Genomic DNA, 14,281 nt, shown 5'->3' on the forward strand with positions numbered 1-14,281 from the left:
TCTGATGGATTGACCAGATTTACTTGAACTCTTGAAATGAATAATCAAGTCTCTCTCCTCAGGTGTTTATGTTCCTAGAACTCTTGGCAGGTCCCAAGTTCTGACCTTCTTACCATTTTTATTGAGACAAAAGTTCTCAGGAAAAGAAATAGTTGGTCTTTGGGCAATCACAATTTCTCTGAGCCTCAGTTCCCCACCATAAGATAGGCCAGAAATATACTTTTTCTCAGGTTGTTGTAAAAAAAAAATAGATAATGTAGAATAGCACCTTACAGTACATGCTCAGTAAGTGGTAGCAATTATTGTCATTACCTTTTTTAGCAACTCTCATTCATAAATGGCTCTAATAAGTTCACAGGAGAAGTAAGTAGAAGCAGCAAGATTCTTCTTCTGTGAAGATGCTGCTATGAAGACCTCACAGGATGGCCATCTGGCATAAATCAGATGAAGCATATCGCTGAAGCACTATCCAATATTTCCAAGCAAGAGGAGTCACTGAGTCAGGGATGGTGTCAATACATGCAATATTTGAGGAACACCCTTAGGGTGAGATGTGGAAAAGGGAAAGATTAACCGAAGCTTCTCAATTTGTATTTGACATTTCTATGTAAGGAAATGAAGTGTTTCTTCCAAATAAATTACAGCACTGAAGGAGGTACTGATTAAAGATTTCTGCTTGTGAAGTTACTTTAAAAGTACAATCCATTTTCAGAATTCTCTTTCCTTCATGCATTACTTAATTTGCTGGTTTCGAGTTGGTATGGCCCCTTGAAGCAAAAACAAGTGCTTTTGAGAAGTGGTAAGAATTCAGAATTAATGGCATGCAGAGATGTATTCTATGTCTGAAAACAGGCTATGTATCTAAAACCTTCTCTATGTCTGTGCTACTTAAGTGCTAGAATAATAAAACACAGGATGAAGCAGAACAATTGTGCGATTGTTTTTAACATCCTCAAAAAGGATTTCAGGGCACCATAAGCTGCTAACGAATTTCAGGAGGCAGGTGCAAGACATGCAATTACTTTTCCCTTTTCATCCCTTTTTATCATTTGAGAGCACTTACAGATTATTCACTGGTTTTCATGGTAGAGGCTTTTTGTGAGAAATATTCTATCAGAAAACAGCTATTAAACATTGTTCAAGATGTCTCTAATTGGGAGGAAAATAATAAAGACAATGAAAAATGACAATTTCTCAAATTTAAGGAATTTTAAGTGGTTCTCATTAAAAGTTTTAAATGGCTACTTTACTTTACTAATATGCTTGGTTACAAAGGCTTATAATTCAGGCTCCATTTAGTCTTTCTCCAAAGAAATCAAATATATGTCACTTCCCCAAGCTCATCTCAGTGAGCTTTGCCTTTAGTTATCATTGGACTGCTCACATCTGCCCCCTCTCCTTTGCTCCTTCTACAGTCTTCCTGGATGCCAACTTCTTGGCATATCAAGTTCAGGCTTCCATGGCCAACAGTAGACTAGGTTTGGAGCACAATCCTGAGATGAACTGGGACCTAAGAAACATAATCTTCTTATTTCATGTCATTGCAGTACAGCTTTTATACTCCAACCCTCAACCCTACCACTTTCCCCTCTACCATCAAGAAGCCCTTTAACTTTATAGCATTATGAAGAATGTAAAAGGTATCATTGTTCAAATTATAATCAGCTACGGAAAGGCGTTTTCTTATGCTGTCAGGATTGTTGCTAAGGTTGAAGTGGAAACCAAAATCACCAAGAACTTAACTTTTGAACTCCAGAGAGTTTCCAGCATTTAGAGCTATCTCCCCACCCTAAAAGGCTAATCAAGAGTACCCCAGAATCTGTTCCATGAATCCAGTCACCTTTCCTGTTCCCAGCCCAATCATATGGCCGGAGGACTGGGTGGAGAGAAGATGACCAGTTTTGGGAAGCATAGTGCTCTTGGAGAGAAGCTCTACTCTATCTTCACATGGTGGCAGTAAGGTGGGGGCTGTGGCTTCCCTGAAGCCAATGCAGGAAGGTCTCAAGAGAATCACCAGTCACATCGAGGTGTTTGCCCCTTCACTACCCTGTTAGACAACTGCATAGCTAGTAGGACTGCTTATCCATCCCTAGTTCGCTGAATATGGAGAAAGAGAATTGAAGAGTGACTGGGGGCCTAGGGAAGAGGTAAAGACCAAGAGGCTTGTGCTCCTACCACTTAGCATGGAAATAACAAGTGGATGTTTTTCTGATTGAATGGACCCAACCTAAGATAGCTGGGCTTGCTGGTGTCCCCCCAAAGAGAGCAGCCCAAGTGGCAGGAATGGATCTTTGATGGGTGGAGGACCGCCAAGGTGGGAGCTGAAGGGGCGGGGGTTGGCAAAAAAATGTTAAGTCACAGCTGAATTTTCTCATCAGAAACCATGCATTGAGGAGACCCCAGCTGTTTCCTCCAAGGCAGACATGTGTTTGGCGTGGGAGACAGGCAGCCCTTGGATGTCTGCCACACTAAGGCATTGTTGAATGGTTAGTGCTGGCAGAAGAGGCAGCAGCAGTCAACCCAGGAGATGCCTGCAGCTTTACCATAGCACTTCCTTAAGGAAAATTGCCTCTCCCAGATCTTCTCCTAAACCCTACACTGAAGGGAAAGGTCTGGGAAGAACAGACTTTATTCATCTTCCCCAGACAGGCCTAGTCAATGCTGGCAGAGACAGAGAATGGGTCTACGTGGAGTGTGATGCTTTTGCTTTATAATGAAGATGACTGAATATTAAATATGAAAGCCAGTCATTCTTTCTTTCTTTCTTTTTTTTTTTTTTTTTTGAGATGGAGTTTTGCTCTTGTTGCCCAGGCTGGAGTGCAAAGACGCAATCTTGGCTCACTGCAACCTCTGCCTCCTGGGTTCAAGCGATTCTCCTGCCTCAGCCTCTCGAGTAGCTGGAATTACCCTACTGGAATTAGTAGGGTGCCCGCCACCACACCCTACTAATTTTTGTATTTTTAGTAGAGACAGCATTTCACCATGTTGGCCAGGCTGGTCTTAAACTCCTGATCTCAGGTGATCCACCTGCCTTGGCCTCCCAAAGTGCTGGGATTACAGGCATGAGCCACTGCGCCCGGCCCAGTTATTCATTCTTTTCACACATATTTATTTCTTTTCTTTCACTCCCCTAGCTAGTTAAATCACCAAACTCTGTGGCTTCTACTGACCATCTCCCTTCAATCTACCTACCATTCCTTTTCTTACTGTCACCACCTTAGCTCATGCACCATCATCTGATGCCCCATAGGGATCTGCTGTATGGGATCCTACATGGGTACTTGCCCTTCCCAAACATTCTCCACCTTGCATGCAAGGTGAATTTATGGAACACAGATCTGATCATGTCACTCCCTAGTTTAAAGTATTTGTTTTCACTTGCCCTTGGGATAAAGCCCAAAATCTATAGCACGGTGGTATAAGGCTCTGGGTGACAAGGACTTTGCCTATGTCTCCAAATTTGCTTCAGAGCCCACCCTCCCTGCCTACACTCCCTTCACACTGATGTCCTTTCGGCTTTTTGAAAGCCTGTCATTCTTTTTCTGGAAGCTAGGCCTTTGGCATACAGCCAAGAACATTCTTTTTCTTCACCCTTTGCTCATATAACCTTTGCCAATCTTTCAAGTCTTAGCTTAGAAGTCTTTCCTCAAGGAAATTTTCACTGACCCTGGATTAGGTTAAATGAGCTTGTTATATATGACATGGCACCTATGCTCCTTCTATTAATGTCCTAGTCAATATGAAATTACTGTTTATGTGTATGGACTTCCAACTAGGGTTTATGGTCTCTGAAGAGAGAGAGACTGTTTGTCTAGTACACCACCATATCCCCAGTACTTAGCACTGGGCTCATTGCATGATAGGACCTCAATATTTGTTGAGTTGTAGACCTTCTGTATTGCTTTCTCCCTGTATCTTCTTTCCCTCTTTTGAAAACTGTAGAATGTATTAGTAGTTTCTTACTTAATATTTATTTCCCAGCTTTCTTCTATGCTAAGAGGATCTTGATTTTGTTCAAGTTTCTGCCTACAATATGGCCAGAGATGGTGAGACCCTTTTGAAGATATTCAATGAGGAGAAGGTTATTTTGTTTCAAGTACTGACACAGAATTTGTTTGGAAAGCAGAAACGAAAAGAAAAAAGCTGAAAGTGACAAACCTATTAACTGTCTGGTATGAAAGAAACTCATCCATTCATCCATCCACTCACACAAAAAATACTACTATATGGGAAACATTATACTATACATTGAATACCAACGGTGAGTAAAACAGAATGATCCCTTCCCTTATGGAACAAGTAGGAGTTGCCCAGATGTATGTTGTGTTATCTGTGTGTGTATGTTATGTGTGTTGTGTATGTGTTGTGTGTATTGTGTGTGTGTTCAGGGTGGGCAGTGGTGGTCCAGAGGGAGCATCATGTGTAAAAACCCAGATCTGAGAATCTGTGTGACATTTGGGGGAAACTGAAAACAGTTGAGTTTGGTCAGAGCAGAGAATGAGGTAGGAAATGGTAGAGATACGCGGCCCAAAATGTACATGGGCAAGTGATGAAGGGCATTGTTAGCCATGTTAAAGAATTTGTGCTGCCAGGTGCAGTGGCTCACGCCTGTAATCCCAGCCCTTTGGGAGGCCAAGGAGGGAGGATCACTTGAGGTCAGGAGGTCAAGACCAGCCTGGCCAACATGGTGAAACCCCGTCTCTATACTAACAATACAAAAATTAGCCAAGTGTGGTGGCGCATGCCTGTAGTCCCAGCTACTCAGGAGGCTGAGGCAGGAGAATCGCTTGAACCCAGGAGGCAGACATTGCAGTGAACTGAGATCCTGCCACTGCACTCCAGTCTGGGCAACAGAGTGAGACTCCATCTCAAGAAAAAAAAAAAAAAAAAAAAAAAAAAGAATTTATGCTAAGAACAATGAGCAATTTTGGAAGGAACTGAACCAAGGCAGGGAGTTTTAGCAGGATCAACCTGGATGTTGTGCAGAGATTAATCTGCAAGGGTAACAGGGGAAGCAATAAAAATAAAAGAAGCTGTGGAAGGTCATTTAATACAGTTCCTAAATTTTTTTCCATCATGGAATTGAAATGATGATTTTTCTTTTTTTTGCATATCCCTTAAACTAGAGGGAATCTGAACTCCCTGAAAAGCCTCCCACCTACTGGAGGGGATGGTCCTGGGAACAAGATCCCCGGGGCCAGTAGACATCCCTAAGGGCTGAAGGGAATTAGTATGTAGGCATTTCACCACACTTGTAAGCCACTTTCTGCACACATGTTGGAAAGCTGATTTAATCTCATCTCTGGTGCTCACATTCCCTCTTTTAAGGACATCAATGTGAACACAAATAACATCAAAGATAAGGAGGGCGCTTGAATAAATTGCCAGTGAGCCTCACCCTTCCAACTTCCTACTACCTCTCTCTCTGCCTGGCCTTTTCGTGGTTTCTAGGTAATGCAAGTCTTCTTGATAATTATGACTTCTGGATAACTTTCCCCACTTTCTGTCAACTGCGCAAGTCAACTTCCTTGTACATTCCCTCAGGGCTCTACTCCCAGAAGATAACAGTAGTCAAAACAATAATAAAGCCAATTAGTTCACTAATGTTTAAGTCAACACAGTATTATTCCATCAGAATAATAACACACAAGTGTCAAGGATGTCATTAATGTGAAATTATACTAGTCAGATTTTCTGACAAGAATGCACAGAAGCAATTGAGGTGAAGAAAGAAGAGAGGAATTAGGAGGAAGAGGCAGGATGCCCACAGAGTCCTTAACTATACCCTATTGACCTTTTAGTGACTCCCCAAGTTGATGAAGTTGGTGCTTAAATTGCATAAAAAGGGAGCTAGGCCTCATTGGAGCCTGTAGGGCCTCCAGTCTATACTTCCATATTAAACATTCTTTGTGGGCAGAGAATTTGCTTCTTCAAAAAACTTTATGGAAAGCTTCAACAAGTATCTAGTAATTAAATTTCAAAACAACCCCATAGAGCAAGCAGTGCACTGTTTTCCTACCTTGTTCAGGAGACAGGGAGAGGCATGAGGGGGTCAAATGATTTGTGACAGGGACTGCCTCAGGAAAGGCTGCCTCTTCAACTCTGTGTTTTAGTCAGCACATGACATGATGTGAAGGGTCAGGAAATGTCTGTGTGAAAGTAAATAACACATCCGAAAAGATGAAGGGAGAGCAACAGGCCCGATGTTGCTCATCAGTGTTTCACTAAATTCTGTAGACTTAGTGGACCTCAGATGAAACACTAACCTGCTTTAAAATTTTTTATTTGGCCTGCGCCCTAATGCCAGGAGATTTTCATTCACTTTGGGCCATTATGACTAGGCCTAGGTATCGTTTGAAAAGTGCTTCCAAGTGAGTTGATGTACACTGTATTAGTTTGCTAGGGCTGCCATAAAAAAGTACCACAGACTTATTTGTTATATGACAATAAAACTAATACCACTGGTGTCCTCTTAGAGTGAGGGGAATGGTGTGGGTGGTGGAACATGATAGAACATAGCAGGATGATGTGGTTGGTGGATTAAGTGAGGGAATGGGAAGAAAAAAGGAAGGAGGTTCTCAGGCCCAATTCCCAGCTGTTTCCCTGGAGGCCAACTACCTGCCTTCAGTCATAGCTAGATTCCCTCCACTTTATTCCCTTGATTGTTTTTCAGGAAAAAAACCCATGTGAAAATACCTATTTCTTAGTTTAAATAATTTAACAAAGGCCCATGACTTCAATTATTCTCCCTGTGGTATTGGACTCTGGCTCTCACTCAGGGAGGGACAACCCCTGAGGGCTTTGCTCTTAAATAAAATGTATCACTATTATGTGATTTAAACAAACAAACAAACAAACAAACAAAACCCAGAAAAACCAAGTACCACAGACTATGTGGCTTGAACACCAGAAACTTATGTTCTCAAAGGCTAAAAGTTCAAGATCAAGGTGTTGGCAGGGTTGGTTCCTTCTGAAAACTGACCCTGACTTGCAGATGATGATCTTTTTTCTGTCTTCACATCATCTATCTTTTGTACTTGTCTGTGTCCAAATTTCTTCTTATTCTAAGGACACCTGTCATAATGCATTAGGGCCCCGCCTAATGACCTTATTTTTACATAATCAGTCCTCTAAAGACCCTATGTCCCAATACTATCACATTCTCAGATATTAGGGAGTTAGGACTTCAATATATAATTTGTGTAAAAATAATTACAGTTTTACCATTTAAAGTAATGGCAAAAACTGAGTGGCCAGGCATGGTGGCTCACGCCCGTAATCCCAGCACTTTGGGAGGCCAAGGTGGGCGAATCATGAGGTCACGAGATCAGCACCATTCTGGCTAACACGGTGAAACCCTGTCTCTACTAAAAATACAAAAAATTAGCCGGGCATGGTGGCGGGCGCCTGTAGTCCCAGCTACTTGGAAGGCTGAGGCAGGAGAATGGCGTGAACCTGGGAGGCAGAGCTTGCAGTGAGCCGAGATTGTGCTGCTGCACTCCAGCCTGGAAGGCAGAGTGAGACTCTGTCTCAAAAAAGAAAGAAAGAAAGAAAGAGAGAGAGAGGGAGAGAGAAAGAGAAAAGAAAGAAAGAAAGAAAGAAGGAAAGAAAGAAAGAAAAGAAAGAAAGAAAGAAAGAAAGAAAGAAAGAAAGAAAGAAAGAAAGAAAGAAAGGAAAAGAAAAGAAAGAAAGAGAGAGAGAAATGGCAAAAACCACAATTACTTTTGCACCAACCTAAAACATTTTTGGGGGAAGGGACACAATTCAGTCCCTAGAATAAACCCAATGTTTAGAGCCACTGCTGTGGCAACATGGATGCAGCTGGAAACCATTATCCTAAGCAAACTAATGAAGATACAGAAAAGCAAATAGCACATGTTCGCACTTACCAGTGGGAGCTAAACACTGGGTATACATAGACATAAAGATAGGAACAACAGACACTGAGGAATATAAGAACAGGAAGGGAGAGAAGGGGGTAAGAGCTGAAAAACCATCTATTGGGTACTGTGCTCACTGCCTGGGTGACGAGATCATTTATACCTCAACCCTCAGTGACATACAATATACCCATGCAACAAACGTGCACTTGTACCCCCTGAAACTAAAATAAAAGTTGGAAAAAATAAAAATATAAATATGAAAATGTAGACCGACTCACCAAATGGTGAATGCTAAAGATAGAATAGGCCTTAAGATTAGAAGTTCTTGCTTTTCGTTTTATGGATTTAAAAAAGGCCTAAAGTCCAACAGCTTTTCACAGCAGAATGATGAGTAGCACTACACTTTCCTGTCACAATCCGGGAGGGCAGAACATTCCAGATCTTCTTCATTGTTCATCCTGAGAGCTGAAAACAGTGATGGATGCTCTATCAGTATAGGTCATCAAATGAATGAATGAATGAATCCAGTGTTATTTTCCCCAAAGTACCCTTCCTCATGTCATCAGAAGAGATTATTTTCAAGTTGTGAGAGTGATTATGCAATGAGGATTCTGAAAAAATAAACTCTTCTCGTGAGTGGCAGGATGGGCTTAGTGGAAGGTAGGAGGTATTTCTTCTTGGGAACTCTATTTCATTTTCTTAGAGATGTGTTCCTCTGTAAAGATAGACAAGAAAAGTTCCCTTGATCAGAATCACCAGAAGGGAATTTTTGCTCTTCTCCCCAAATTTCTCAGTCCATGTCTGCCATCTCGTGCCTCTGGCTTGATAAACAATGTGTAACCATATATCTAACTAAACAATAATATAACGTGCATGGCTTTGTCCAGGGCCTGGGGAAGGCTCCTAATCCTATCTTCTCTATTACTGAGGTGGGGGAACAATTTGTAGCTTAGCTACTGAACATGCCTAATAGGTGAAGAAATGAATTTCCAGTAGTCCCTGCCACTAATCATTTTGAGGCAGCTGAGGATGGAGATTAGGAGCGACTGGGGAAAGGGATATAGAATAAGAGCTCCTTGCCACACAGTGGCTTGTATCACTACGCTTACACCTGAAAAGGGTGAACTTACTATTCTTACCAGTTTGATTCAGAAGGGACGGGTTCTCCAATCTTTTCTTTTTAATATAATAAATTGAATTTCTTTCTTTTTTTTTTATTATACTTCAAGTTCTAGGGTACATGTGCACAACGTGCAGGTTTGTTACATACGTGTACATGTGCCATGTTGGTGTGCTGCACCCATTAACTCGTCATTTACATTAGGTATATCTCCTAATGCTATCCCTCCCCCCACCCCAACCCCACAACAGGCCCCATTGTGTGATGTTTCCTTCCTGTGTCCAAGTGGTCTCATTGTTCAATTCCCACCTGTGAGCGAGAACGTGCGGTGTTTGGTTTTTTGTCCTTGCGATAGTTTGCTGAGAATAATGGTTTCCAGCTTCATCCATGTCCCTACAAAGGACATGAACTCATCATTTTTTATGGCTGCATAGTATTCCATGGTGTATATGTGCCACATTTTCTTAATCCAGTCTATCATTGATGGATATTTGGGTTGCTTCCATGTCTTTGCTATTGTGAATAGTGTCGCAATAAACATACGTGTGCATGTGTCTTTATAGCAGCATGATTTATAAACCTTTGGGTATATACCCAGTAAAGGGATGGCTGGGTCAAATGGTATTTCTAGTTCTAGATCCTTGAGGAATTGCCACACTGTTTTGTACAATGGTTGAACTAGTTTACATTCCCACCAACAGTGGAAAAGTGTTCCTGTTTCTCCACATCCACTCCAGCATCTGTTGTTTCCTGACTTTTTAATGATCATTCTAACTGGTGTGAGATGGTATCTCATTGTGGTTTTGATTTGCATTTCTCTGATGGCCATTGTTGATGAACATTTGCTCATGTGTCTTTTGGCTGCATCAGTGTCTTCTTTTGAGAAGCATCTGCTCATATCCTTTGCCCACTTGTTGATGGGGTTGTTTTTTTCTTGTAAATTTGTTTGAGATCTTTGTAGATTCTGGATATTAGCCCTTTGTCAGATGAGTAGATTGCAAAAATTTTCTCCCATTCTGTAGGTTGCCTGTTCACTCTGATGGTAGTTTCTTTTGCTGTGCAGAAGCTCTTTAGTTTAATTAGATCCCATTTGTCAATTTTGGCTTCTGTTGCCACTGCTTTTGGTGTTTTAGACATGAAGTCCTTGCCCATGCCTATGTCCTGAATGATGTTACCTAGGTTTTCTTCTAGGGTTTTTATGGTTTTAGGTCGAATATTTAAGTCTTTAATCCATCTTGAATTAATTTTTGTATAAGGTGTAAGGAAGGGATCTAGTTTCAGCTTTCTACATATGGCTAGCCAGTTTTCCCAGCACCATTTATTAAATAGGGAATCCTTTCCCCATTTCTTGTTTTTGTCAGGTTTGTCAAAGATCAGATGGTTGTAAATGTGTGATAATATTTCTGAGTGCTCTGTTCTGTTCCATTGGTCTATATCTTTGTTTCAGTACCAGTACCATGCTGTTTTGGTTACTGTAGCCTTGTAGTATAGTTTGAAGTCAGGTAGCGTGATGCCTCCAGCTTTGGTCTTTTGGCTTAGGATTGACTTGGCAATGCGGGCTCTTTTTTGGTTCCATATGAACTTTAAAGTAGTGTTTGCCAATTCTGTGAAGAAAGACATTCGTAGCTTGATGGGGATGGCATTGAATCTATAAATTACCTTGGGAATTATGGCCATTTTCATGATATTGATTCTTCCTATCCATGAGCATGGAATATTCCTCCATTTGTTTGTGTCCTCTTTTATTTCGTTGAGAAGTGGTTTGTAGTTATCCTTGAGAAGGTCCTTCACATCCCTTGTAAGTTGGATTCCTAGGTATTTTATTCTCTTTGAAGCAATTGTGAATGGGAATTCACTCATGATTTGGCTGTTTGTCTGTTATTGGTGTATAAGAATGCTCATGATTTTTACACATTGATTTTGTATCCTAACACTTTGCTGAAGTTACTTATCAGCTTAAGGAGATTTTGGGCTGAGACAATGGGGTTTTCTAGATATACAATCATGTCATCTACAAACAGGGACAATTTGACTTCCTCTTTTCCTAATTCAGTACCCTTTATTTCTTTCTCCTGCCTAATTGCCCTGGCCAGAACTTCCAACACTATGTTGAATAGGAGTGGAGACAGAGGGAATCCCTGTCTTGTGCCAGTTTTCAAAGGGAATGCTTCCAGTTTTTACCCATTCAGTATGATATTGGCTGTGGGTTTGTCATAAATAGCTCTTATCATTTTGAGATACGTCCCATCAATACCTAATTTATTGAGAGCTTTTAGCATGAAGGGCTGTTGAATTTTGTCAAAGGCCTTTTCTGCATCTATTGAGATAATCATGTGGTTTTTGTCTTTGGTTCTGTTTATATGCTGGGTTACGTTTATTGATTTTCATATGTTGAACCAGCCTTGCATCCCAGGGATGAAGCCCACTTGATCATGGTGGATAAGCTTTTTGATGTGCTGCTGGATTTGGTTTGCCAGTATTTTATTGAGGATTTTTGCATCAATGTTCATCAGGGATATTGTTCTAAAATTCTCTTTTTTTGTTGTGTCTCTTCCAGGCTTAGGTATCAGGATGATGCTGGCCTCATAAAATGAGTTAGGGAGGATTCCCTCTTTTTCTATTGATTGGAACAGTTTCAGAAGGAATGGTACCAGCTCCTCCTCGTACCTCTGATAGAATTCGGTTGTGAATCCATCTGGTCCTGGACTTTTTTTGGTTGGTAGGCTATTAATTATTGCCTCAATTTCAGAGCCTGTTATTGGTCTATTCAGAGATTTAACTTCTTCCTGGTTTAGTATTAAGAGGGTGTATGTGTCCAGGAATTTATCCATTTCTTCTAGATTTTCTAGTTTATTTGCGTAGAAGTGTTTATAGTATTCTCTGATGGTAGTTTGTATTTCTGTGGGATCAGTTGGTGATACCCCATTTATCTTTTTTTATTGCATCTATTTGATTCATCTCTCTTTTCTTCTTTATTAGTCTTGCTAGTGGTCTATCAATTTTGTTGATCTTTTCAAAAAACCACCTCCTGGATTCATTGATTTTTCGAAGGGTTTTTTGTGTCTCTATCTCCTTCAGTTCTGCTCTGATCTTAGTTATTTCTTGCCTTCTGCTAGCTTTTGAATGTGTTTACTCTTGCTTCTCTAGTTCTTTTAATTGTGATGTTAGGGTGTCAATTTTAGATCTTTCCTGCTTTCTCTTGTGGGCACTTAGTGCAATAAATTTCCCTCTACACACTGCTTTGAATGTGTCCCAGAGAATCTGGTATGTTGTGTCTTTGTTCTCGTTGGTTTCAAAGAACATCTTTATTTCTGCCTTCATTTTGTTATGTGCCTAGTAGTCATTCAGGAGCAGGTTGTTCAGTTTCCATGTAGTTGAGTGGTTTTGAGTGAGTTTCTTAATCTGAGTTCTAGTTTGATTGTACTGTGGTCTGAGAGATAGTTTGTTGTAATTTCTATTCTTTTACATTTGCTGAGGAGTGCTTTACTTCCAAGCATGTGGTCAATTTTGGAATAAGTGGGATGTGGTGCTGACAAGAATATATATTCTGTTGCTTTGGTGGGGAGAGTTCTGTAGAAGTCTATTAGGTCCGCTTGGTGCAGAGCTGAGTTCAATTCCTGGATATCCTTGTTAACCTTCTGACTCATTGATCTGTGTAATGTTGACAGTGGGGTGTTAAAGTCTCCCATGATTACTGTGTTGGAGTCTAAGTCTCCTTGTATGTCTGTAAGGACTTGCTTTATGAATCTGGGTGCTCCTGTATTGGGTGCATATATATTTAGGATAGTTAGCTCTTCTTGTTGAATTGATCCTTTACCAGTATGTGATGGCCTTCTTTGTCTCTTTTGATCTTTGTTGGTTTAAAGTCTGCTTTATCAGAGACTAGGATTGCAACCCCTGCCTTTTTTAGTTTCCATTTTCTTGGTAGATCTTCCTCCATCCCTTTATTTTGAGCCTATGTGTGTCTCTGCACGTGAGATAGGTCTCCTGAATACAGCACACTGATGGGTCTTCACTCTTTATCCCATTTGCCAGTCTGTGTCTTTTATTGGAGGATTTAGCCCATTTACATTTAAGGTTAATATTGTTATGTGTGAATTTGATCCTGTCATTATGATGTTAGCTGGTTATTTTGCTCGTTAGTTGATGCGGTTTCTTCTTAGCATCCATGGTCTTTACAATTTGGCATGTTTTTGCTGTGGCTGGTACTGGTTGTTCCTTTCCATGTTTAGTGCTTCCTTCAGGAGCTCTTTTAGGGCAGGCCTGGTGGTGACAAAATCTCTCAGCATTTGCTTGTCTGTAAAGGATATTATTTCTCCTTTATTTATGAAGCTTAGTTTGGCTGGATATGAAATTCTGGGTTGAAAATTCTTTTCTTTAAGAATGTTGAATATTGGCCCCCACTCTCTTCTGGCTTGCAGATTTTCTGCTGAGAGATCAGCTGTTAGTCTGATGGGCTTCCCTTTGACGGTAACCCGACCTTTCTCTCTGGCTGCTCTTAACATTTTTTCCTTCATTTCAACTTTGGTGAATCTGACAATTATATGTCTTGGAATTGCTCTTCTCGAGGAGTATCTTTGTGGCATTCTCTGTATTTCCTGAATTTGAATGTTGGCCTGCCTTGCTAGGTTTGGGAAGTTCTCTTGGATAATAACCTTCAGAGTGTTTTCTAACTTGGTTCCATTCTCCCTGTCACTTTCAGGTACACCAATCAGACGTAAATTTGGTCTTTTCACATAGTCTTATATTTCTTGGAGGCTTTGTTCATTTCTTTTTACTCTTTTTTCTCTAAACTTCTCTTCTCACTTCATTTCATTCATCTGATCTTCCGTCGCTGAAACCCTTTCTTCCAGTTGATCGAATCGGCTACTGAGGATTGTGCATTCATCACATAGTTCTCGTGCCATGGTTTTCAGCTCCATCAGGTCATTTAAGGACTTCTCTACATTGATTATTCTAGTTAGCCATTCATCTAATCTTTTTTCAATGTTTTGAACTTCTTTGCCGTGGGTTCAAACTTCCTCCTTTAGCTCGGAGAAGTTTGATCGTCTGAAGCCTTCTTCTCTCAACTCGTCAAAGTCATTCTCCGTCCAGCTTTGTTCCGTTGCTGGCGAGGAGCTGCGTTCCTTTGCAGGGGGAGAGGCGCTCTGATTTTTAGAATTTTCAGCTTTTCTACTCTTTTTTTCCCCCATCTTTGTGGTTTTATCTACCTTTGGTCTTTGATAATGATGACGTATAAATGGGGTTTTGGTGTTGATGTCCTTTCTGTTTGTTAGTT

General features: G+C 40.7%; 1 annotated feature.

Moving 5' to 3' along the window:
* Positions 751-1,045: a silencer, noted in NCBI's record as "tiled region #15029; HepG2 Repressive non-DNase unmatched - State 24:Quies". NCBI's record gives its function as "represses a minimal TATA promoter and a strong SV40 promoter by Sharpr-MPRA in HepG2 cells {active_cell/tissue: HepG2}" and the evidence as "EXISTENCE:reporter gene assay evidence [ECO:0000049][PMID:27701403]".

This window comes from Homo sapiens, chromosome 5 (genome assembly GCF_000001405.40).
Source record: "Homo sapiens chromosome 5, GRCh38.p14 Primary Assembly".
NCBI lineage: Eukaryota > Metazoa > Chordata > Mammalia > Primates > Hominidae > Homo > Homo sapiens.